The sequence below is a fragment of the Homo sapiens genome, chromosome 3 (assembly GCF_000001405.40).
Source record: "Homo sapiens chromosome 3, GRCh38.p14 Primary Assembly".
Lineage (NCBI taxonomy): Eukaryota > Metazoa > Chordata > Mammalia > Primates > Hominidae > Homo > Homo sapiens.
The window spans coordinates 188,698,014-188,725,631 of record NC_000003.12 but is presented as its reverse complement, the minus strand read 5'-3'; the positions used below and the strand labels follow the sequence as shown (position 1 = coordinate 188,725,631).

Below are 27,618 nucleotides of genomic sequence, written 5' to 3'. Positions count from 1 at the left end.
AAACAAAGAACAACATATATTTCCTATCTAGAGATCCTTATCCTTCTTATTTAGAGCATGTTTACAAATAAAATAAGATTACAAGCCCCTAGCAACAACACAAAACTTAGAATTTTCCTAGTCTTACCTATACATGCTGTGTGGTCTGTCTAGAATACCTCTTGACTTCGAAAGTGACTGCAATGCTGAGGCCATTCCTTCCACAGATGTCTTCATAGGTGATCTCCAAATTAAGTCCACCTTGAGTCTAATGCGTCAGCGAGAATGCTGTTATTATGACGGATACATTTTGAATGGGAACGGGCTGCACGCACTTGGATTGTATTTGCTTGATCTGCCAGAGGAGAACCAGAAGCAAAAGTATCCCCATACCACCTGTGACCAGAGAGGTAGAACACAGCAGGTTCCAGCATAACCAGACACAAGGGTAAACTGTTCCGGATTGCTCTAGAGGCACAACGAAACTTTTCTTTAGAATCAAGGTGACACAGCAGCTTCCTAAAGACACCACACATCCAAAATTAGGAGTGGGAACTAAGTCGAAGAATCAGTTAATCAGTGTCTGACTTCCTGAACCATCTTAATGAAATAAAATGGCAAAATTCACAGATACATTGACACTGCCGCTGACGGCCTAAAATAGCATCAACTTCCGACTGAGTGAGCCAATTGCTAGCTATTGCACTGAACTCTTTTGACTGATGACATGTCAACAGGGTGACTTTATTTTCAAAATCAGTCCCCTTTTCCTTGCTCTCTCTTATTTCCACCTGGGCAATGAGACTGGGCCTGGCTTTTCTACACATCACTAGACTAGAAGATGCCATAGGCATGGATCGTTAAAAGTTAAAACTATTTACGTGTGTGAAAGAAAGCAGTACTGGATTGAGGCAAATTGTGGGGAGAAGAGAGTTTCTGGACATAAATATTGCTACAATCATAATAACCAAGTTTCAAGTCCAAGAAGGAATGGAGGAATAAAGATGCATATTTCAAGTGTTATTAACAACAAAAAAAATTACGGTCAGAAATCGCCTTTTGTTATCTGGACTAAGCAGCCCAACTGGGCACTACTACCCATGTAGGAGGGCAAAGACACTGTCTCAGCAGACATCTGGTACAGAGCAAACAAAGAGATGGTGTACCTGTATTTCTAATTGCTCCCTTATTAGTAGTGAGAGCTTTCAATCAGAGAAAATCAAATCATACTAAAAACATCCCCCAAGGAAAGTAGAGGAAAAAACAGAATAGGATTTACCAGAAAAGTCATGGAATGAGCACAGATCCTGTGAGTCTAATCTTTTTCCAGGCTTTGGCTAGCTCATTTTCTGAAATCTATAGTCACAGGCATGGTATATGCAGGGGTTAAGAGCTGGGTTCTGTGTTCAAATTGCAACTCTAATTACTAGATTCCGGGAAAATTATTTAACTCATCTTGGCTTCAGCTTTCTCATTGTAAAAAACAGTATCTACTGCCTAGAGTTATAGTCCAGATATAAGTAATGCATGTAGAACTCATACTAAATAGTCAGTGCTCAATATGTACTAGTCTTATTTTAAGCAGAATCATTAGTGAGAATGGTTTAGGATCAAATCAGACTAGAGAACCTCTATTGCAAGCAAAACTCTTGGTGGAGTGGCACAAAGATATTTAAAAAAATCATCCAGCTCTATCTCCTCTTCTCATTTTTCTTTTTGGGGAAGAGAGGAAGAGTAAGATAAGAAAGATGTGCTCTCCCATCTTAGTAATTTTACAGTAAAATAGAAAATATATAAACACACATGAGGAAAATAAAGATCATAAGAGTTATGAATCAAATACAATAGTAACAAAAATTAGAAATAAATTTTGACTTAGGAATTAGAGTTTTTTTCCTGGGATATGCTATAGTGCCTCTTTATTTGTGTAAAATCTTTTTTTTTTTAAGCTACATTCACAAGCTAAGTGGATTATGCATCGAAATTCTAGAATCCAATAGGACAAAGTGTTTTTGTTTAATCATTCACATCAATAAACCCAAGTAAGTTATTTTCAGGGAAGCAGCAATTCAGTCCTGTCCAGGTTTCTGTATGTCTGCCGTCTCCCTGCTCTTGACCATCTGACAAAATGACACTGGGACCAGACGTTCAATAGAGGGTCCAGTCTCTGATTGGCCTCTGTTCAATAGAGATCACAGGTACATTTCTGAATGGTTTGAGAAGCAATTACTGAGGGGCCCCAAACTCTCTTGATTAGAATGCTTTAACCAAGGCAGAACGAGACAATTTTAGCAGACTATAGACAAAGCAAAAATAACTAGGTTTCCGACTACCTGCAACTCTCAGCCTTGCAGAAATGTATTCTTTATTCTGTTGAAAAACACTCTATATTGATTATGCTGACACTGACAGTAAAGCTGTGTGGTGGTTGGTTTCCTTTACATTTTCTTCCTCACATCTCAGATGAGAAAGTGGGTTATGATTCATCCTGTTCAATTTGAGTCAAAATTCATTTTGTCTCTTTTCAATTAGTTCTTCTACATTCCACATTAAAAAGCAAGAGTAGTTTGCTCAGCAAACGAGAACATTGTGGTATATCTTGGTGTGTTGCTTTCTCACACACAATGACTAAAAAACACTTTTTGTATTCTCCAGCGATATTCCAATTACAACAGAACATCATAAGAAAATACAAAGTGTTAATTCAAATAGAGATAAACACTGACGTTAACAATTTAGAGGAATGATTATTACACACTAATCATAAATGACACAAATCAAACCAGATGCTGCACTAGGTGGAGATACTAACACCTCTTAAATTTTTGGTCTTCTGCTACGGTTTAGAAAACTTTTTCATACCGACTTATTTAATTTGATTCCCACAATATGCACATAAAATAGATAGGGATAATTATCTTTTTAATAAGTGAAATACCTGAAATTCAGGAAGACTCTGAGGTTCTATAGAAGAGCTAATCTAAACAAGAAAACTGAAATAATTTGGTTTTAACTTCTGACTTGTCCATGGATATGTTAGTTCTTCTGGCAAAATAACACTCATTTTAAAGCTGCTAAAAGAAGAGTTCTCAAGACTGTATAACAAAATACTCTAAGGAGAGCACAAATGTCACATGTCACTAACGTCACACAGAAAAGATGACTTACACTTGGATTTCCTGACTCCAAATCTAGTGCTCACTTTACTAAGCTATCTGACAAAAGATGAATTATTCATTTTTATTACTGCTGTATCATCTACATTAGACTATTGCTCCGTTGATGGTTACCCACACTAATATCACTCACATATGCCAGTTACCATTAGTAAACACCATTACTGAGCCGGTATGCCAATTACCATGACTGAACACCATTACTGAAAATGCTGAAACACAGTGACGCTGCTAGTGTACCCAACACTTAGTGCATGGTATTCTTCATCATATTCAACATCCTATTCCACTTTTATTACCTGGCATTGAAAGCTACTTTCAAGGCAGTGACCCTCTCATAAACCTCAGGAAATGGGTAACAGTAACAAGCAGAGCATAAAGTGATCTAGGAAATATAATTCTTGGGTTTGTTTACAATTCTCCAGAACTCTGAGGCAAGCAGCACTGAAATTTTATATGGGGCAGCTGCTTTTCTTACTCACCTACATTTTAACAGTGTAGAGAGGACAATATATGAAAAGTGTTTGAGGCAAAGGAATTAAGGTCAAAAGGATCACAATAGTTCATGTGTTCTAATCTCGTGATATGAGAGATGAGACCTATGGAAGAGAAACCGGCCTAAGATGTCACAGTGAGTCAGTGGGACAGTATCAGGCCGGCAATGCCTCTCAGTGCTGGATGCCTGGAACAATATCTAACAACACAACACGATCCTTCACAAGAACATGATGACTCCGCATGCAAAAGAAAAAAGAAAAAATTATGCTTTATACACTTAATGGGTAAGCTTGAGGACACCATTTCTTTCACCATGGTATCCTATCAATTTTTCTTCTTGTTGAATGATATCCACATTTCTCAATATTTCAAACATTAGCTGGTGCATGAAATGAACTTTGTTTTTTGTTTTGTTTTGTTTTGTTGAGACAGACTGTTACTCTGTCACTCAGGCTGGAGTGCGGTGGTGCAATCACGGCTCACTGCACCGTTGACCTCCAGTGCTTAAGTGATCCTCCTATCTCAGCCTCATGAGTAGCTGGAACCACAGATGTGCATCACTATACCTAGTAATATTTTTTTCATTTTTTGTAGAGATGGGGGTCTCACTCTGTTGCCTGGGTTGGTCTCAAACTTTTGGACTCAAGCAATTCTCCAGCCTCGGCCTCCCAAAGTGTTGGGATTACAGATGTGATCTGTAATTCCAGCCGTATTTTTAAAATTTAAATATAGTATTCAGTTTAATATCTTTTACAGGAAAGAAGCAACTTAGTACTTCAACCCACAGAATCAAATTATAGATGTTATTGACATGAAGGAAGACAAAGTCGGATAAAAAGTTAATTGATTTAAATAAAAATATTAGGCAAATAATACTATGGATAGTTTACATATATGGTAAAAAAAATTATGAAGATGCTCACTAATGACTGAAGAAAGGGAAGCTTTCAAGCAAGATGATTTCTAAATGCCTCTGTAACTTTGCCATGACCCTAAGGGTGACTAGGAAAGAAAGGGTGAGTCAGTGGAGGTTAAAAACTCATTTCCATTACTCCTGCCTACTGTATCTTCTTAGGCTCTTTCAGCAAGTCACTAGTGTACACTGTTTCTGTTTGCTCTTGTTGAATTTTAACAAATGATGCTCACTGCCAGATAGGAGTAGAGCCAAGTTCAAGGCTCATGCAAGCTCAAAGTTTGATGGTCAAACCTTAGAACCAAGTGAGGACTGAGATCAGAGCTGTACAGTACTATAGGAAATCTGGAAGAATTAAATACAACATGACTAACATCAGAGTCAGACTTAGGAACAGAATTGGGATAAGGTCATTAACTTGGACCTGCTTCTGTGATTTCCCTTTTTTTTTTTTTTTTTAATTGCCTCGGATATTTTTTGCTTTTTCTTTTTAAGTATTTTACAATTTTTGGTGGGAACTCTAACCAGAGACAGTGCATTGCCACTCATCTTCACACACCAGGAAGATGTATGCCTGTACCTCTTCTCATGAACTATTTCAGCATTTTATATGGCACAAGTACAGTGGCAAAATCCTCTGAACCGGGATGGAAAAGAATACATTTTCCACTGCCAGTTGTGAAATCTGTTCTCTATCAAAGCCCTTGGCCCTAGAGGATTTGACAAATGCTTTCTCTCCTTGGCCATTATATCATTTCCATTATCTCCCATAGTATACACTACAATAATTGGTGAGTAGTAGGCACTCAATAAATATTTGTAGAGGAAAGAATCGGTCAATTAAAAATACAACAGGGCCAGGTGCAGTGGCTCACGCCTGTAATCTCAACACTTTGGGAGGCCAAGGCTGGCAGATCACAAGGTTAGGAGTTCAAGATCAGCCTGATCAATATGGTAAAACCCCATAGCTACTAAAAATACAAAAATTAGCTGGGCGTGGTGGCACGTGCCTGTAGTCCCATCTACTTGGGAGGCTGAGGCAGGAGCACAGCTTGAACCTGGGAGGTGGAGGTTGCAGTGAGCCAAGATCACGCCACTGCATTCCAACCTGGGCGACGGAGCAAGACTACGTCTCAGACAAAACAAAACAACAAAAAAACAAGATGCCTACCAAGTACAACTCCAGAGATGTTCAAACAATAGCTTTGCTGACAGTCAATTAATTATGCCTTCTGACAATCCTAATGTCACTTCAAAGTCTGTAAGGAGATGCTTATCTGTGTGTTTTAGAGAAAGTGGTGGGGAAAGTGCAGGTTGGGGGAATGATGGTGGTTTGAAAGGGAAAAGGAGCTGAGTTCACAGTTAATTGTGTTTGTGTGTTAATACCAGAAGATGCATAATTAGCACTTGCAGGTTCAGGTACCAGTACCAAACTGAGACTTTCTTTGCACCACAGACAATGTGTGCCCCATCAGTGCTTTCTCTCCCAGAATTTCAAGTTTGCTTCCACAGTTAATAAGCAAAGAACATTCAATTATGAAGTAGAAATCTCTCTTCTACTTTTCTCTTCTTTCTTCTGATAAAGAGATAGTGATCCTAACGCAGCTGAATGACTGGATGTCTGCTGTTTGTATCAAGACGGTATGAAACACCAATCTTGGGTGGTGGTTCACAGTCTTGAAGAGGCTTACTTTAAACGGACAATCTTTCAGGACAGGTTGCTATGGACAACTCAAGTAAACGTAAGAAAAGAATGTTTCTTTCAATGTGATGCCCTATCCATCCAATCCAATTAGATTAGAACAGAAGAAAATTGTGGTGGTACGAAATGGTCCTGGGAACCAAAGACTATAGATGAAACCTACAGGTGGAGGAAATGTGACCCAGTACTTAAAAAATAAAATCTTAACCAAGTACTCTCTTCATTGACCAGTTGAACCTTTAAATTTCACAGAAGATACATGCAAAAGAGATCAAGTCCAAAGGTGTTAAAACAATTTAAATTTAAGTTCAATAAATGTAGCAGCCATGTCTTACTCTAGTTTATATGTTTTCCTGTGCCCTTAAGTGAATTAAAAAAAGGAATGAGAAAATCTGAGTTATACTCTGTGGCTCTGTCACTAACAAATTTGGGACCCTAAAAATCTCACTCATTTTCATGATCTCTAAAAATGAAGAGGTTTTCCTAGTCTCTTAAGATTCCCTCCAGCTCTAACGTTTTATGATTTTATAAGGTGCTAAATAAATATATCTTAAATGAATGAAGTATTTCCTCCCTATAGTTTACTATATACCATGTCCTGTCACAGAAGTGTGAAAGTCTGCTCACAGTTTTCATTTATTAGTTCATTAATTCATTAACACCTATTAAATATCTCCGATGTGCCAGGCATTATTCCAGGAATGATAGGAACACAATACTGAACTAAACATAAATTGTTGCCCTCACGCAGACTTACATTTAGTGAAGAAAACAGATAGGAAATATTACAAGTAAATTGGATAAAGACACTGAGATAAAAGATACTGGGAATCTCTTTTGTTTCTTTTGAATAAGAAAACTTTGGTTCTTTTGTATTTGAAAAATACATACACAAAATTCCTTAAAAGTTATTTATTTTATTCTTTTTAAGGACAATGTGTTCTTATGTTTGAATAAGGTGGATCTACGGTCTGAGATCACAAAAGTAGCAGGCCCGACCTATGTCTGCACCTTTGTAAACAGCCCTGCCATTCCTCTTCATGCCATCGGAGACTGTCCATTACTCAGAAAGAAAATTTTGACCATAGAATTCAAAACACACCTAGTTGCATGGCTTTGGATAAGTCATTTGGGATACAGTTTTCTAGAAAATGAAGGATTTTCCTAGATAATTTCTAAGATCACATTCTTCTTTACTCTAAGTCTGGGATTCCAAATCAATGCTTAAAAACACATTAGCCAGGCCGGGTGCAGTGGCTCACGCCTGTAATCCCAGCACTTTTGGGAGGCCGAGGCAGGAGGATCACCTGAGGTCGGGAGTTCGAGATCAGCCTGACCAACATGGAGAAACCTCGTCTCTACTAAAAATACAAAAATAATTAGCCTGGCATGCTGGCATATGCCTGTAATCCCAGCTACCTGGGAGGCTGAGGCAGGAGAATCGCTTGAACCTTGGAGGTGGAGTTTGTGGTGCACCGAGATCGCACCATTGCACTCCAGCCTGGTCAATAAGAGTGAAACTCTGACACAAAACAGACAAACAAACAAACACACTAGCCAAATTAATAAAAAATTAATGTATGCTAAGATAGAACACATAAAATGCTCAGAATTATTATTTATTTAGTGCTGTAAACATATACTACTCTGAACAAACATTACCAGAAGTCACTACCACAAAAGAAAATATATCTAATATGCCTCATTAACTAGAGAACATTCTATTCCCACAACTCAAAGATACCCTAAACAAAAAGTTAGAGAGAAACAAAACCAAAAAACCCATTTTTCCCCCCAAATCAATACAACCTTCTCTCTAAGCCACTTATTGTCTAATTTTTCTTCCATTGTGGTTTTGGGGTTTTTCATTAATTAGGTCATTTATCTGTGAAAACAAGATCCACTAAAGGTAGCTGCCTACCTGGAGTCATTTCCCAGTTTGTAATTGATAGAAGCACTTTGGAAACCATTTTCTTGTCACATAATAACACAAACTATGAAATACAAATTACTTTACACCTCTCAGTTGAGATCCTCTAAGCACTTTACAAAGTAATCACATCGTTCCTTATACAGATTAAAAAGCTAAAACATGAAGTATGTTAACTCATCTATCTTATGGCCCATGACCAATTCAGCAACATGGTGTTAACAGCACAATGGGGTGAAAAGTGAAAAGAATTTAAAGTCTGTAGGCCTGTGCCCCAGGGCAATTCTGCTACTTACCTGCTTTATGACTTGTGAGGGTAGTGGAGAGCCCTGGGGAGTGGGGAGTCCCTTAATCACTGAAATCTTTCATTTCTTCATATCCCAAATGGAAATAAACACACTGTCTATTTTGTAGGACTGCTGTCTTGCTCAAGTGATATAACATGTAGAAAAGTGCTTTAAAAAGCATTATATAAATGTTAGTTGAAATCATGTAATAATAATAATGATAATCTAGGGGTAGACCTAGAAGTTGGATGCAAGACGCTAACTTCCAAACAAGTTTAGCGTCTTGTTTGTGCCTAAGTCACAAAATGTTAGAATTGGACAGCACTTATGAAGTATAATCTAATCATCCATCAGTTGCTTGAGTACCTATCACCATTTTCACCAACAAGGGATTATTAGATTCTGACCTAGAATTTTACAAAGACTTTCTTCTGTCTCTTAAGAAAGTGATTTCATTACGCTGAATGGGAACTGGCCAGACTCCCCTCACTTGCCTTTGTTGCTAATTTTTGAATCACAAATATTAAGTCAAATTCCTTTTCCACATGATAGTCTTTCAACAGCAATGAGGGCTCTAGGTTTTCCTCTCTCCATACCTTCAACTGCACCTCAAATCATGGTTTCTAATTTCCTAAGCATCTTAGTCAAGTCCTCTGGACAAGCTCACTTATCAACTGGTCCCACTAGTGCAGAAAGAAAATGGACCATCCTCCTCATTGTTTTTTTTGTTCTGTTTCTATTCATGAACATTCACTGGCCCTCCATTTTCATCTTAATTGAGTTGATACCAAGGCACCAAATACAATGAGCTGGCATAACCAATAAAGTGACCGATCATAGCACTTTGTTCATGTTAACGCCTTTCTTCTCTCAAGGCTTAGCATGTGCTAGGTCCCTGCTGCCTCATGCCTTCACTTTTGTCTAGCTGTCCTTTGAAAAATGAAGGCCTAGTTCCACTGGAACAAACTCCTGGTTTTCTGCAAAAATTCTCAAAAACTCCTACTAACAATACTCAGAGATGAACAAAAAGTTTCCTTAGATAAATGCTAAGTTCTGAGAAGATAATTTACCTGGCACTGCTCTGAAGGATTCTTCAAATAGCTCACTCAATAATTTTAAGGCTCACATACTTCTGCTTTTTTTTAAAGAAGGAATAAGACAATATCATATAAACAATGTCAAGATAATTACAGCTCTATGCTTAAAAATCTACTGTCAGATATTTCCAGTCCATCCTTAGATGTATTACAACATCCATTTCCAGAGATACTGTCTTCCAACAGTGTTGCCTTCAGCCTTGAGGGCTCCTCAGCCAGAATATTATTATTTGGAAAAAATTATGCCATAGTCACAGACATGCATGTATGAAAAGCTTCATATACAAACACGCTTTCTCTTACAAAATGAATGAAAGCATAAAACTTAGAGGCTCTGGGTGTATTACTTAAGGCTGTGGCTGTATCAACCAACACAGAAAAGTCTTGGACAATTTCAAAGAGATATCTCAAGGTTATCTGGAGAAAAACTCAACTTTGCTTTCCTTTAGCTGCCTAAAACTGTTTGAAAAAACAAACTTTAAAACTGGCAACTAGCCCTGTAGATGTCCCAATTTTCTGAGAATAATACCTTTCTCTCCTATTCATTTTAATACTCAATTTAAAAGTTTTCCATTTTCTATTATAAGCTCTGAATTGACTCTAAATTATAATAATTTACAGCTACTTCATCGCCCCATGTTCCTTTTTTTTTTTTTTTTTTTTTTTTTTTTTTGAGACGGAGTCTCCCTCTGTCACCAGGCTGGAGTGCAGTGGCACGATCTTGGCTCACTGTAACCTCCGCCTCCTGGGTTCAAGTGATTCTCCTGCCTCAGCCTCCTGAGTAACTGGGACTACAGGTGCGTGCCACCATGCCCAGCTGATTTTTGTATTTTTAGTAGAGATGGGGTTTCACCATGTTGGCCAGGATGGTCTTGATCTCTTGACCTCGTGATCTGCCCACCTCAGCCTCCCAAAGTGCTGGGATTACAGGCATGAGCCACCCCTTGTTCTTTTTAAGTATCTATCACTAGAACTGAGAGCCTCCTTTAGTATCAACATATTTTTCTAGTTGTCTAGGAAAAAATTTGCTCTAAAATGCAAGCACTTGAACCAAGGCTTCCTGTAGATGAGCTGGGCTAAACACTCACTGTCTGGTTTATTGAACTGGGTAAGAATTTTCTCCTACCCCCAACTTTCTACTATGTTTCCTCCCTTTCCTCTACAGGGTAGTGTTTAGAGGCCCTCTCAATGACACCAGTATTAATGGAAAGACACAGGTCCATGGTAAGGAAATCTGTTATAGCCAAAACTTAAGTCCAAGTAGATGGCAAATGCCCACAGTATAGAGACTGTATCTTCCCTTTAGAGATATAGACTCATCCAACTGCTTTATCATGGTTCAACATCTGTGGCATTTACCTAATACTGTAATGCGACAGTCACAAGTTATAATGAACATGGACAAAAGAAGGCATGGAAACACTAAAACTATCACCTTTCCAGAAGAAATCATTAAAAAAAAACCCAGCTGAGACAGTTAAGGGTCCCTGTTTGTTATATTTTATAAAAAAACCTGACTTGAAAAAATAAGAACGGTGGCTATTAGTGATTTGCCTTCTCCCATGGTCAAGAGAAGAACTACAGACTGCAAAATGGCTGATAGGTAGGTATTCGGTAGACGGTCTTCCTAATGTATGTACCTCAGCCATGTCACAGCAGTTAATTCAGGATGTTTAAGATAGTTGAAACATATCAGTGACATCGAAGTCCAGATTACAAACATGTAATCTTGGGCAGAAGCAGTCCCTCCATCTCTCACTTGAAGATCATAACTTCATAAGGAAAAGTTATGACATGGGAGAGAAACAGCCAGTTACTAACATTCAGCAGGAACAGCATTTATATACCTTTCTGTAATGGTAATGTATTATGATAGACATGAGATCAGAAGAGTGAGGCCAAATTCCAAAATTATTAGCTATGTGAGCTTGAACAACTCACTGAGCCTCTCTGAATCTCTATTTCCCCATCCAAAAAATGAAATGAAGACATCATCGCCAGGTCTGCCAGTCATGTTGTGGCTGCGACTTGGTTTTTTAAACATATGGAGCTCTAGGTAAATATCAGCTTTTGTCATCACTACCACAATTGTCCTCATCTCACCAGCAATAGAAGATGTGTATGTCTGGTAAAAAATAAGAAAAAAAGAAAACGATAACGGGAAATTTCAAAGACCCACTGTAGTCATTAAAACAGGAAAGTTGAGAAGGTGCAGAAATGTCAATCTCTCTACCCACCCAAGAAGGGATTCTTAAGGTAATTCATTTGTGACAGGCTTCAGTACACTTTTAGAGAGGAGGGGAGTCCTTATAGTTGTTGCAGTTATAGCATCTCTAGCTGTTTTAACCTGAGGTGATTCTGCCTCCCCACATTTATCTCTATCTCTGTTTGTCTACGTATATCTGTCAATCATCCCTCTCTCTCTTTCTGTCTCTCTCTCTCTATTTCTGTCACTCTATCAATATTTCAAAATAAAACTGTAGACACAATCATACCTCACCTTATACTGCAACAAATAGCTCATAAAAATAAGATTTTCCTACATAATCACAACACCATTAATATCATCATGAAATTAACATTGATGTATTATCTAATATATCATTGATATTCAAATTTCTCTAAGTTTGTTACCAATCCTTTACAGCTTTTTTTTTTTTCATCCAGAATTCAATCAAGACACATGCCTTGCATTTGAATGGCATGTCTCTTCAATTTCCTTTAATCTAGAATAGTGTTTTATAACATTGACAGTGTTGCAGAATTCAGGACAGGTGTCTTGAAGCATGTCCCATCATCTGCATTTTTTACTTCCTCATGGTTGGATAGAGCTGAAATATTTTAGCAAGACCACTGCCTAGACGATGCTGCAGACTTCCTACATTCAGTTGGCACATGCCAGTCTGTCCCATTATTGAGGATGTTAAATTTCATTACTTGGTTTAAGACGGCTTCCAGGAGACCTCTCCATTATAAAAGTTCCTTTTCTCCTTTGTACTTAAGTCATCTGTGAGGTGATCTTCTGGTACCTCTCCCAGTACTTTTAAGCATACGATAATTATAATTCAATATAAATAAAACTGTTAAGAGTGATGAGGGGCTCCGCAAAGAAACAAGAACTATAATAACATATTCATGAATCATTCTACTTATGAAAAAAAAAAGAGTGTCTTGGAAGCAAAGCAACATGACCACAAAGGAACCTACTCTGTTGACATCATTTATTTACATTTTGTTCACTCTCACTCCCAAGTACAGCCTGTAGTCTAGCAGGAGATCTACAGCATGAAAGCACTTAATTACCTTCAGTAAATCAGCTACAGTTTAAATAAAAATTCCAGCATTAAATAGGCAAAGTAGTAAAGAAAGAGTAGGTGATGGGGTTTTGGCAGGGCTGAGAGGATAGTCCTGCAAAAAAGAGAAGTTATTTAAGGGAAGTGCTTGGCAATGCTATTTGCAGTCCAGAATAGGCCAAAGGTAAAACTCTGACAGAAAGGAAGAGAAGACTTTATCGCTCTTGGGTCAGGCCCTGCTGATGCAAACACACTGCTATGTATTCTTTCCGCTCATCCTCAGGCAGACTTATGGACTCTCACATAGCAGCTCAGTCACACCCAACACAGTGCTAATATCTGCACTAAAATCCTTGACATCTGTGACTCTCTTGTCCTTCCTAGGAACCCGTGAGCCCCATGAGGGCAGAGCCTCTGCATTTGGGTGTCCTGAACACCCAGCACAGTAGCAGGCACAGAGAAGGTGCTTGAGAAATGTTTAAAGCACGGAACAATAAAGGACAGTTCTTTTCACTAGTCCTTTGCCTCTTGATTTCATCTTGCTGGTAAGAAGTGCATCCTGGCTCTGGAGTGCATGTTTTTAACCACTATCCACAGAGCAGTTCTCATGGCATGTGATCTCAATGTGCAAGGGCTCATTATAGACAATAACGTTCTTAGCCTTTAGCCGGACATTGACAGCCTTCCCTAGATTGGTCCTAACCTACTACTTGAACCTTATTTCCCAATATTTGCTACTTCTCACGTGGACACTTCACTCCAGTGGTTTTATTCCCTGTTATGTCAAAAACTCCCCTCATGAGAAATGACTTCACTTCTCTACTATCTTCCTACTTCCAAATCTCAATTAGCACAATTTTAAAGACTTACTCAAAGGCTAAGTATTCCATAAATACTTTTCCATTTCTCTCTCTTGATTTTCTCTTTCCTTTTTCTGAATTCTCAAAGAACACTTGGTGAACATTGATTAAGTCACTTGTCACTTTCTGCCTTGTGCTTATAACACCATAACTCTGTACACATATCCTATTAGACTATAAGAACTTCAAAGGTAAGACCCACATCTACCCCCACCACCACCTAGCAGAGCAGCCTGAATATTACCATAGGCACTTTTTTTTTTGTTTTCTACATAACGTAAATTTTCTTTAAATAATCCTGGCCTCAACTTATATTTTGTTAATTCTGTGTACCTAGAAGAGAATGCTCATCTCTTATTTCCCATCTGTCCAAAGCTAATCTCCACCATAAACACTCTTCTAAATATGTAGCCTGGCTAGCTTTCCCCATCTTTTACAGTGTGGTGTGTAAATGTACAGATCTGCATTCTAATTCAGTTCTGCAATGTATTAGCTGTTGACATTAGGCAAATTAATATTTCTGTGCCTTAATTTCAAAATCTGAAAATGATAATAGTATCTATTTCACAGGGTTATGTTTTCCTATAAGAGTGAAATGAGTTAATTCCTATAATGTAAATAAAATATAGTGCTGCCATATCATAAGCACTCAATAAAAGTTAGCCATTTTTCCAAATTCTCAAATGGTTATTCATCCCCATTTGGCAATGATTACTTACCAGTGACATACGTTCTATTGTTGCTAGGAACTTAAACTTAAATTGAGCATTATTAATGGATTTTTAACGAGCATATCTTATGTCTTAAATAAACTATAAGCCCCAAGAGCATGGGAGAACCTTGAGTATTGTATTGAGCATATTCTACATGCCAAGAACTTGGCTAAGTGCTTTGTATAAATATTTCATCCATTTCTTAAAACAACAGTATAAGCTAGTTATTATTCCCATATTACAGATAAAACAAAACAAAAATGAAGGTTTAGAGGGAATAATACTTGTTCAAGTTTTCTAAGCTACTAAGTAGTAGAGCTTGGACAGTTCTTGAAGGGAAAGGTAATAATTTATATCTGTTTCCCAGAGTGTTCAATATATATTCATTCATGCAATTAGCATCTATGTTCAGTTTTTTTTTTGTGGCAATATATTTTGTTGCTATGATATTTGAAGCATATATACTTGGTAAGTCAGCTTTTCCTTTTTAATAGGACCTAAATACAGAGACCTTATTTTTCACTTTTAAAAAATGTATTTTAGACCCCATTATAAACCCTCCTCACATGGCAATGACAAGAGCATTAATAAACTTTTTGTGTATTTTGATGTAACTAGAAACCTTCGTGGATTTTCTATGTTTTGTTTTACTGTTCTCCATGCATTGTTGTTAATCTCCATCAATTTATGTTTAGCTTTATTGTTATACTTTAGATTAAGGATGTTTGTACATTGAACTTATTACTGTTGAAAGAAATGCTAGAGAACATTTGCCCCAACCGTTGATATAGTGAGGTGGGAAATGGGGCTCAGGCAGATGGGTGACATGCCAGTATTGCTTGGCCAGCGAGGGACAGAGAAGAGACCACAACCAGATGTTTCATTCCCACTCTTTTTGCTCTTTTAGCTAAGCTAAACTGCCACCCCAACACAAATAAAAGCCAGGGTTTTCATATCCTAATACCTCCTACTTCATCTACTGTGTGTTTTTGGACTGGTGTGGTCAGTTGACCTGTCATTACATATTCCCATATAGGAGCAAAAAAGACATGAAAATAGAAAATATTTGAAGAAGCAAAAATCCTGTGCAATTTCCCCATCTTTGTGCCTTTACTAATACTGTTCCCCAAATGTCGTTTCTCTATTTGTCCTTAAAGCAGTGCCACTCAAAAAGTGGTCCATGGATGGGTGTCTAAGAAATGCTTATCACCCTGGATGAGATAAATACAGGAACAAAGGATTAATATTTAGAAACTAGTATAAAAATTTAAAAGAGTAATTCGTTAACAGTTAACTCTAATAATGATAAAATTTCATCTTCCATTTTATTTTGTGTCTTTTATTTCCCTAGTAATTAATTTTAACTGACTCAACAAAAATACTGGTCTCCAACAGATTGGGAGGAAAATGGTCTTCTACCACAGAAAATGTGAAAGGCACTGGTTTAAAGGGCTCAGATTCAAGTGCCACCAATTCTTTACCAAAGTATTCCGGATGCTCCTAATAAATGGAGCTTTTAAAACTTCTGGCCGGGCGCAGTGGCTCACACCTGTAATCCCAGCACTTTGGGAGGCTGAGGCGGGTGGATCACCTGAGGTCAGGAGTTCAAGACCAGCCTGGCCAACATGGCGAAACCTCGTCTCTACTAAAAATACAAAAACTAGCCAGGTGTGGCGGTGGGCACCTGTAATCCCAGCTACTCGGGAGGCTGAGGCAGGAGAATTGCTCAAAATCCGGAGGTGGAGGTTGCAGTGAGCCAAGATCACGCCAGTATACTCTAGCCTGGGTGACAGAGCAAGGCTCTGTCTCAAAAATAAATAAAATAAAATAAAATAAAAATAAAATTTGCAACAATTGACCTAAGCCTTCTCATGTCTTTTATCACTTTCTACCTAGACTAGTAATTATTTGTATGCTTGTCTTACCTCTTTCTGAACAATTTTAACCTCACTGAGGACAGGTTATGCGTCCACAGAACCTCACAATCGGCATATAATTCATAAATTTGCATTATATTCATGGATTGGAAGGATTAACCATTCCTAGTTATTAACAAGTTTGAAGAGGGGAAAATTAAAACTACAAAGAAAACATCATTTCTTCAACTGAGATAGAAAAAAAAATTAAGAGTACAATCTGGAAATTGGATATCAGACAATATCCAATTCCACATTTTTTACTTGAATCTTTAGACCAGTGAGAAATGGGAACATACACAGAAATCCTATTTCTGCCTAATGGGAAGCTAATAAGTTGTCAAAAAATGTCTTCTTTTTTAAAACAAAAAACAAAAACAAAAACAAAAAACAAAAAAACAGGGTCTCACTCTGTTGTCCAGGCTGGAGTGCAGTGGCACAACCACAGCTCACTGAGCCACAGCTCACTGCAGCCTCGACCTCCCAGGCTCAGGTGATTCTCCAGCCTCAGCCTTCTGAGTAGCTGGGACTGCAGGCACATGCCACCACACTCAGCTAATTTTTGTATTTTTAATGGAGACAGGGTCTCCCCATGTTGCCTAGACTGGTAAAAAATAAGTCTCAACAATAAAATTTGTATCTAAGGAAACTCTAAGGACCACTGAAATTTTAGTATAAGCTAAGTAGACATCACATCTATGGCAGTCTTGCAAATGCAAATCCTACAATTACTTAGTTGTGCGGGGATGTATATCAACTCTCATGCATCTGGACTCAAATACTTTACCAGTGGAGCTGATAATAGTTCCAATTACTAAGGAAGGAAATCAGAGCAAGATAGTTACTTCAGAAGTCAGCTCTAGGCCCCACTCACCAAAGTATTCGTCAGCAGGTGGATTTTCCATGTCATACAGCATCTTTTTGGTCAGGTGCTCAAGCTCATCCTCTGGGCGGAATGAAGGGGCAACTGACGAAGGCCCCAGTTGCCCTGAATGGCCACCCTGAAAGGCAGAAAGCACACAGTCCTTTAATTGCCACCTAGACCATCAACCAAGGCAGTCAGCCTAAACAAGCAGCGATTGCACTGGAGAGGAAAAAGCACTGGACGTGGCTGTCAGGAGACCTGGGTTTTAGAATTAGTTTTATCACTTATTCAGTGGCTAACCTTGGACACATCTCTTTACTCATTTGCCTTATCTAGATGAGTCATCTATCAGGCTTTAGAAATCCATGTTTACAATAGGAAGAATCTATTTTGTTCAACAATTGCTAAGTAATCACTATTTGCTGTTATACATTTATGAGAAAAATAAATTGAGTCTTTCTTTCTTATGAACCTTACAGTGAAGTGAGAGATACAGGCACATTAATAATTAAAGAAAAACAGCTGCAGGAAGAGCAAAATAAGGGTATAAGGTGGGACCTCTCGCATAGCCCGCGACGGACTTCCTGAAGAGAGGGAGCAGAGCAGGCTAGGCCTTATTCAGCTAAAAGGGAGAAAACATACAGGTAGAAGTTTCTCACACTCAGGTGAAAAAAGTCAAGCAGCATAAAGAGCTTGTGGAAGTTGTGTACTTCGGGACCACATATAAACTTTGAGATAGGAAATGAGATAAATCTTATCGAGTACAGGAGTCCAGAAAGCGAACATTTTGGTTCTAGTTCTTTTGTTCCAGTTAAGGAAGTTGAGTAATTTCATTTTTCCAGCACTGCAAACAGCCAGATTTCAAATAGTGATGATAAGTCAGTAGCATTGACACTGGGTTGGTGTTGAAATGGGTGGGTGAGAGCAAAGCTACGAGGATGTGAAGACATACAGAGCAAAATGATGGACTTTGGGGCTTTGGCGCGGCCAGGTTGGGCAGGGGGGCAGGGATCAAAGACTCCATATAAAATGTATAGTCTTTTATCCCTCATCCCCTGTACCCATATGGGACATGCAGGGCCACTGGGGCCTTTGTCTATTCCCCCTTCATTCCACCCTTATGGGTACAGTGTACACTGCTTGGGTGATGGGTGCACTAAAATCTCAGAATTCACCACTATAGAACCCATCCATGTAACCAAAACTCACATGTACCCCAAAACATACTGCAGTAAAAAAAAAATTAAAAAATAAATAGGCGGGCGAGCCAGAATTATAGCAATGCAAGAGAATCAAATATCAATTGAGAGAGTACTTGAGATCATCAATGAAGAATAAAAAGTATGTAAAAAAGGAATAAAGGCCATATACTAGATTTAAAGTAGCTTTGTGCTATGTGATTAAAAGGGAATTTATCACATTTTCCATTGCCTATAAATTTGACCATTTCTAATATCTCACCCCAACATTCTTAATAAAAGTGTGATAAAAACAGAAATGCTATTATTTAAATTTAGAACTGATGATGATGTCTGCCATGAGTAATGGGCAGAGATGTGGGTTGGGAATGCTCTTGCCTTGATATTTATGCATTGTTAAAATAGTTGGCCAAAAGGTTCTCTTTTCAGAATGTTTACAAGAGTAAGTTCAACAAAACTGAAAGCTACATATTCATTCTCCTATTATCTTCACTACACCAAGTGAGCTCTTGGACGTGAAAATCCTGTAAAGTACAAATCTCTGAACACATGCTATCATTCCCAACATTTACTACAACTCCAAGATGGGTATTAATCATTTGTGTGATGTCTAAAGCGTTAAATGTCTTCTAAACATAGTCAAGAAGGTTGATTGGTACCTATTTGGCCTTTTCTCTAAAATAATTTCCATTTTTTTTGGTTTCCCAAAATATACAGACATTTGAAGTACAGACACGCAGAAGGCTGAAAAGGCCAAAAATATTTTATGCTGGTCACTAACCTTAGCCTGAGACTTTATTGCATTGTTGAACAATTTGGATTAGAGATGAGACAGTGATGAGTAAACTATGGCATATGCTCAGGTTACAGACAAAAAAAATTGAGTTGCTTGCCAGGATCTGAAGAACCATTATGCTAATCTCCTCTTTGTGAGACAGGGAAACTGAGAGCCCCCCAAAAATCAGGGAGGGCTAGTTTTGATAAAGTCAGGACAAGAGCTCATCCTTGACTGACTTATTTATTAGCAAACATTAAAGGTTAAACTTAGGACCTCCTCTGAACTGTAAACATTACCTGTCATATGAGGATTAGAGAAGCTACTGAATTATTCAGTTATTCTTTTGTTTATTGTTTTATCCACTCATTCTTACAGGGTTTATTTTGTGTACCTTCTGTAAGAACCCAGGAGGGACATGAAGATATATTACACACAACCTTTGTTTTTGAGAGTTTTGCAGTCTAGTGGGGGTAAGAAACATGCACAAATGATTAATTATAAAAAGCACAGGTCGGGCACAGTGGCTTACATCAGTAATCCCAGCATCTTGGGAAATCAAGGCTGGCAGATCACTTGAGGCCAGAAGTTCGAGACCAGCCTAGCCAAAACTGTGAAACCCCGTATCTACTAAAAACACAAAAATTAGCCAGGTGTGATAATGCACGCCTGTAATCCCAGCTACTCAGGAGGCTGGGGCATGAAAATCGCTTGAACCCGGTGGTACAGTTTGAGCCAAGATCGTGCCACTGCATTCCAACCTTGGTGACAGAGGGAGATTCTATTTTCCCCCCACACAAAAAAAGAAAAAATTAAAAAAAATTATATATATATATAGCATAGTATATTGATAGGTATTTGCATAAACATGAATATTGGATGAATGGTTGCCAGTATTGTTAAACTTTAAATTGCATACATGTGACTTGCTTCCAGGAAAATTGTACAGAAGTACTCATACAAGTGAATAAAATTAAATGACGAAGGTTGGTCACAGGAGCCATATTTGAGAGGAGGAACAAGGACTAACAAGGTAAACTAACCAGCAAAAGAATCACCTAAATAGACAATGACAGATACGTACATTGTAAATCTATGGAACAAGCCTGCAAAGATGAACAAGACATGTTTCATAAAGAACAAATCCAACTGCAGAATAGGATAAAGTAACTACAGTTTATTTACAGGTCTATATAAAGACCAGGTACGGAAATGTTAAAGGAGATTCTTTCTAGCAGGTGGAATCTTAGGGGACTTTCACTTTCTACATTTGTTTCTTTATTGTACAGCAAGTAGTTCTACTTTTGTAATCCATGAATATAAATCTTTTTAAACATGATGACTTCAAGTGATAAAGATATGCTAGACATGACCCGCTATCCTGGAGCTTCCAACCCAGGCCAAGTGAAGGACCCTGAGAGGAGCACAGTTTCAAAGTTGAGACGTAGTTTGGTGTGAGTGGGAAAAACTACAAGTGGTTCAGTATTTCGGTCTGGACAGGTGGAAAAATAGGAAGGGTCAGTTAATTACTGCTTCCATGCCATGCTGAGATGTTTAGGGCTTCTCGGTGAGCTAGGGGCTCCAGGCCTTGGGTAAGAACGTGGACAAGTCTCAAAATCTAATGTGTTAAACTGTCTTTTGACAAAACAACAACAACAACAACAACAACAAAACAGGTATCTGCAGTGTACACAAAATTTACTTACAATTTCAAGAAGTTCACAGACCACGGGGAATATATTTGCATGTTCTCAATTAGGAACATCCAGGCATTAGAAACCACGGTAAGTGTTTTTAGAAGAGTGTTCTAATCATATTTAGAAAGTTCCCGCTGAAGTAGAGGGTGAATGGGAGAGCAGCAAGACTGAAATGAGATGGTGAGTTTATCTAATATACTGGTGGCCAGAGATAAAGGAATACATTATACGGCAGTATCATTAAGGTTAGAGACAGAGATTTGACTATGACCTTCACTTGGCATCCTTAGGTGAGCTTGTCAACCTTTCATAACTTCAGGTTCTCTTCTATCAATGGACTTGCCAGTGGTACCTCACAGTCTCTGTAAGAATTAAAGTGAGATAACCCACATTTCATGATAAATAGAGTTTAACTACTTTCAGACAATTGTAACAAAGAGGATCTCTTTGAATCTCTCAAACTGCCTCTGAGGGAGTGGATTATTACAGTTCAGGTAGTGGAATTGAAAATGAGGTTGGGAAGTGACCTACACCTTTTCTCCAGGCTTGCAATACAGGGAGACCTTGAGCCCAAAATATGGTGTCACCTGTCTCCAAGTGCCATGCATTTTTTCCCCAAGCAAACGATGCTTCCCACAGAGAGTGCTAGAAAAGTATAAAATATTACCTCTAATAATAATGGTGCAAGTTGTTTTAATTAAGCCAAACGACTGTTAGAGAAAACTTGATAATTCCTGTCTTCAGTCTTAGGATGGACCCTCAGAGAACAGACACAATTTATCATTGTCTCAACCTAATATCAGTTTCCCTTTCAATATAGACAAGGCAGCAAGAAGGCCGATCCTGTCCTTTATAAATCTAAGCCAGAAATTTAGATTCTACCCCTAGCACTTACATTTCAAGTATAAATCTAATTTCAAAGTACTTACCTTGTCAATATTTCACAGATTTTGAGAAAAACGTTATCATTCTTTTTGTTCTCTGAATACTCTATTTGCTTGCTATGCTGTTTCTGAAATAACACTTGGAAAGGCTATTTTCTGTTAGATTCTACTCTTTTATCTAATGCTAATTATGGATTCCTGTTTTTTTCTTATGATGAAAGATTCTGAGAGACCATTTCTTTCAGTATTTCTGAAGTTTATTTGGCTAGAGAACAGCCTCCACCTCCACTCCACGGCTGTCACTAACCCAGTGCAGAATACTTAACACCTGTGGAATACACCATGGAGAAACACAGGGTTCCTCCGTTAAGAGTTGTCTCTTACACCAAAGAAGACAGCTTAAAACTTTCAGTGTTCGAGCCTAGAAGCAGTAATCCAGTACTATTCTTACTGTCATAATCAGAGACCTACTCTAATACCTCTCTCTCGATAGTGTTTAGGGCTCAATACCTCCTAAGAAAAATGAACAACTGTGTCCAACTTATTTGTTAATAAGCAACTTCTAGCATATTGTATGGGTAATAAAACACGATTGAATATTTGTGGTGGGAGGTGCTGAAAGGGAATAGTTTGTGTTATTTTTGTTTCTCGTTTCTTCAGAAGTAGAAGTGTGAGTTGTATCAGCAACATATTCACTGTAGCATATTAATTCCTCATGTTTGCAAGACCCTTTTCAAGATGCCTACTTTCACAGATGTGAAATCTCAAATGCCTACACAACAGCCCTGTATGACATGTAATCCTATTTCTGGATGAGAAAATAGAGACTTAAGAAGATAAGTGAGCAACCTTGTAGAGGTACCGCTGCTTAAAAACAGCAGAACGTTGAAACTGGGGTGTGCTGAGTTGGGCATACTTCTTCACTGCAATGCCTCTCGGGGTTTTGATATCATTGTCTCCAAGACTTTCTAGTTCTCTTACTGTGCGGCTGTTTGGATTTTAGTCTGAGTCTATTATCTAAGCAAAGATTTCTTTTATCAGAGTGGAGGTTTGCTGCCAAATAGCAAAACAAAGACATTGTGAAGCAAACCTTTCTCTTAAAAAAAGACATTCTTGTAAGTATCAATCTTAATCACTAATATGTTTGTTTCTGAAATACCCGAATCTCTTACTAAAGGCAAGTTAACGTTATATGATCCACAGGTGAGTTACTGAGCGACAGATTTTAGAGGACTCCGTCAAAATTGTCTTAACATAAATCTCCTACGGGATTACCAAGTGCCAAGAACTTTAAGTATAAAGACAAATTATTCAGAGATCCTGTCTCTAACAACTCACAGTTTGGGAAGAAAGAGACATGAAAATAGGCAATTACAATAAAGTCTAAGCTCTAAAACACAGGTATGAATTCAGTGTTCTGAGACGGAAGAAGGCTGCCAAAAAAAGATGACCTGTAGTTTGATCTTGAAGAATAAATTGCGTACAACAGCCGGAAAAAAAAAAAAAAGAAGAAGAAGAAGAAAAGAAAGAAGGAAGAAAGTTAAAGGCATTTCAGGAGGAACATGTATATCTAAAAAACTGTTAAGAGGAAAGGCTGGGCGTGGTGGCTTACGCCTATAATCCCAGCACTTTGGGAGGCTGAGGGAGGCGGATCACGAGGTCAGGAAATCGAGACCATCCTAGCTAACATGGTGAAATCCCACCTCTACTAAAAATACAAAAAATTAGCCGGGCATGGTGGCGGGTGCCTGGTGTCTGTAGTCCCAGCTACTCTGGAGGCTGAGGCAGAAGAATTGCTTGAACCCAGGAGGCAGAGGTTGCAGTGAGCCCAGATCACATCATTGCATTCCAGCCTGGGCGACAGAGCGAGACTCTGTCTCAAAAAAAAAAAAAAAAAAAAAAAGGGAAAAAAACAGAACTAGGATGAGAAAAGAGAAGTAAGATATGGTCAATGCCAAGCCTGTTTTAAGTAATGGGAAGTCATTATGAGATTTAAAAATGGGAGCTGAGTTTTTATGAAAGTCATGCTTCTGAAGTAAGTGTATTGGCAAACATCTTCTAACACCAAGACCACTGACACTTTCAAAAAAAAAAAACGCAGCCAGATATCGTGGCATTCTGAGCAATTTAGTGGCTAATATGCTTTAAAAAGGACTGATGTTTACTAAGCATGGCAGAGCCTGCTAACTGCTCACCAAAATCCATTTCCTCCTCTTGCTGGGCACACTGCTAGACTACATTTCCCATGCTCCTTGCAGTTAGATGTGGCCTTGTGAGGCACAGGAAGGATGGAGACTGGGCCCTGAACTACCACATGGAGATAAGTCACTCGCTGGCCAGGCTGACCTGCCTTACGGCAATACAATATGCTCAAAGGTTAATCGTTGAAAGTCATGGGAAATTGAATGCTTTATATTCTTTCTATGTTTCTGTATTTTCCCTTCTTAAAATAAAGATTTTTTTTTTTTCAGCTGAAAATTATCTAAAACTGGTTCTTCTTTGCCATTCCTCTTTTCTTGCTAGGGGCCCAGGTGATTGTCATTCAAGAAAATACTTAATATGAAGCCAAATTTACAGCCAAATCTGGGTCTAAATCCCTGGTAAACATTATGGGTGGGACTATGCAGTAATGAAGACTTGCTTCTGAAACAAAATGTACACATGAATAGGACCCTTGATGAAGAAGGAAACTCCACTAGATTAAGAATAACATACATAACAGTATCTGTCATATTCATATAACACTTCATGGTATTTGATTATACATTTACATAGAAACCCATAAATACAGAAGACCTGACTATTCAGAATATCTTTAATCTTAGTTCTGCCTTTAAGTTGTCCAGTGATTTTGCTCAAATCATTTCCATTTTCTGAGCCTCAGTTTCTTTATGTGTAACATGTTATTTTCAAAGCTTCCTTTGGTTCTACTCTATCATTTTTTTGTGCCCATTTGTGCCCATAGTATGCAAGACACATATCATTACCAATCTTTAGAGTGAAATCACAGATATTCATATTTACAGATCCTTTGTAGTCTATAAAAATAGACACACTGAGTAAGTGGAAACCTCATTATGACAGAGATTTCCATTTATGAGAGGACTTAAGCCAGTTGTCAGCATCCCCTGAAACATCCAGAACTTCATTCAGCATTCTGAATCTGAGTAAGCAATGGGCAGGTCACAGGGTTTCTGCAGCCTACTGAACTTTCACTACACTTGGGGCATGAAATCAAGAACACACAAAGGTTAATCACCTTATCATCCCACTGCCCCTTTTCTGAGTGGAGAAGAAAAATATCCATCATCCTTTCTAAAGGAAAAAGGAAGCATGGGAAACAGCCCGCACTAAGGTGCAAATGGCTCCCAGGAAAACACCACACCATCTTGCATCTTTGTTACTACAATTTACCTACTTTAACCTGTGTGCTAAGGATCCAATTTACAAAATGGATACCCACTATCTGTCGCAATGTCAGCCCCCTGAGTTCCTCTGGGGCTGACCTTGGCGTGATCATTTTTCTTTCTTGAGTGCTTACCTGCTGTTGATTTCTTTGTTACATGGTGTTAGATAACTCAAATTTACTGCAAATCTGAACCTTACCAGAAAAGCACCGCTCAGGCGGATAAAACACCGGGAAAAGGCAGCCAAGATATTCAAAAAGATTACATGATAATGAATACTCTATCACTCTGGGTACCAGAGCTGCTCATTTTTCTTGTCCATTTGTAGTGATGTACAAGAGGTTCCTTCCCTCAGAGGGAAAATAACTTCAATTATGTGTTCTTGAAAAAAAAGAAACATTGAAATTATCTTCTTTTCAAAAGGTAGAATTAGCCCCGTTTTAGAGCTGAAAGCCTGCCAGAAAAAATATATTTCTGATATTTTCGTTCTTTTCCCCCCTTCTATTTAGCTGTGTCAAGTCTGCAGTTTGCAATTTCCTGTGGCTGCTTCTACTTTTTGACTCTCACTGAATTATACTCTACTCTCAACATCTCACTGCTTAAATGGAAGGAGAACCCCTTCTGGCCAGGGGCAGATGATTTGCTGGATACCTCTTCTGTTTCAGGTTAAAAGCGATGGCCACAGAGAAGGAAAGAAGTGGAAGGTGGATACCTGACTATCTGAATTGAAATCTTCTAAATGAACACTCCTCACAGCTCCTTGGGATTAGAAAAGCATGCTCTTGGTTCTTCTATTCTTATGTTCCATTTTATTGAAGAATGAATTTTAAGGACACAAAGAGGAAGACCCAGAAATTTTGACTTTAAAAGTTTGATTCTTGCTTTGAAACTCATCCCAGTTGATCTTCAACTTTCGAAATCTTGATTTTCTTAAAATCTCTACTTCCTCATATTCCCTTTCTCATGCCATGCATCGATGCCCATAAAATGCCTTTTCTTAAACCAAATTTGGAGTCATAGCCAAGGATGGATGATTCTGAATTACAGACAGGAGGAGTTGTTGGAAGAGTTACTGCAGCTGGGAAAAGGCCTGGGCATCCAGTCAGGGGGCCCTGGTCTCTGCACACAAGGGTTTTATCTAGGCTGAGCTGGGGGAAAGTGAGGTCTCTCCACACCCACCTCTCTCCGTCTCCACGTGTCAAGGCAGCTATAATAGTGCCTGGGCTTGGAGCATCTGGCTCTTAGGCCTGATGTCTAAGATACTACTTAAGTTCTCCAGTGATTTCTTTTTCTATTGTTGATTTTCTCATATATAAACTGGAGAATAATAATATCTGATTCATATGAAGAAGCTTTGTAACATATTAAATATCAAATAGATGTCAGTTATAATTATCAAGAGGGACAACTTAGAAACCACTAACAAAGATGATTTTCTTCTTGGAAGCAGAATGTTTGCAGAATGAGATCTCTCCAGTAACTCTCCACTTTTCCATCTGCTGATAAAGGACTTCAGTGTAGTGTACCCGAATTTCACATTAATTGTTGCTTTAGCAAGGGATGTAATTACTCTGAGTACTTTTTAGCTACAAATCTTGAAATTCATGCCATTTGGTGAACGTATGCCTTGCTGCCTCTCCAACTATTAATTCTTGTACAGTCTCGCCTTTAGGACCAAAAGACAAATAGTAAAGTAAAGCTCATGCTTGGCTATTTAGAGCAGAGCAGCCTCCCTTAGGCTTCGGCAGACAAGGTACAACCACTGATGTTATCCTGCCGGGTAGGCAAGAAGTAAGAAAAGCGAGTCGCAGAGCAGAAGCGCCAAATCCTCAGAGTCGAGGAGAATCTAGGTCAAAGATCTCCTGCCAACCTTATTCACAGTTCTCATTTCAGGGTTCCTTCCCTCTAAACCTCCATGCGGGCCCTCCGTAAAGGAGAAAGCGAGTTTTCTCGGTGGGGTGAGAAGATCTCTATTTGTGTGAAACTAAAAGAACCTATTTCCACAATGTTATGGCTAAAACATACACTCAGTTTTTCCCATTAATTAGGCTTTATGGATGTTATATATTAGAGATTTGACATAATAAAGGCAAGAGAATTCCAAGACATTATTTCCATTGGATGGCTTCACCTAGGCAAGACCCATGACCTAAAAGTTTGATGAATAGAATGAACCATTATTCAAGGTTGGGTTTTCAAACTAAAACCATATTTTGGCCTTTGCTGTGCCCCACATGCCTGGCAGTGACTCCAGGCACACGTTTCATCTTCATTTGGTTGCCTGGAAGAATGCAATGGGCTAGTTGCTCTAATGTCGGGAAAAAAAGGTTTTATCACCATGCACAGCTTTCTATGCATTGTCCCATAGAAAAACTATCCTCAATTACAAGCTACAGTTTTAATAAAGCACTATCAAAAAGACGGCAC

The 27,618-nt window shown here is 38.4% G+C and overlaps 1 protein-coding gene across 52 annotated transcripts in view; it reads right to left on the bottom strand.

Annotated features, from left to right (window-relative positions):
• Positions 1 to 27,618, bottom strand: part of LPP (LIM domain containing preferred translocation partner in lipoma) — a 737,651-nt gene that overhangs the window by 165,040 nt on the left and 544,993 nt on the right. For 51 of the 52 annotated variants that reach the window (XM_047448103.1, NM_001375457.1, NM_001375456.1 and 48 more), the window contains one exon: positions 17,239 to 17,365. The exons of the other annotated variant lie outside the window; for it this stretch is intronic. In XM_047448103.1, coding sequence (XP_047304059.1) covers positions 17,239 to 17,365 — 127 coding nt within the window. The remainder of the gene's footprint in view (positions 1 to 17,238; positions 17,366 to 27,618) is intronic. 52 annotated transcript variants of the gene reach the window in all.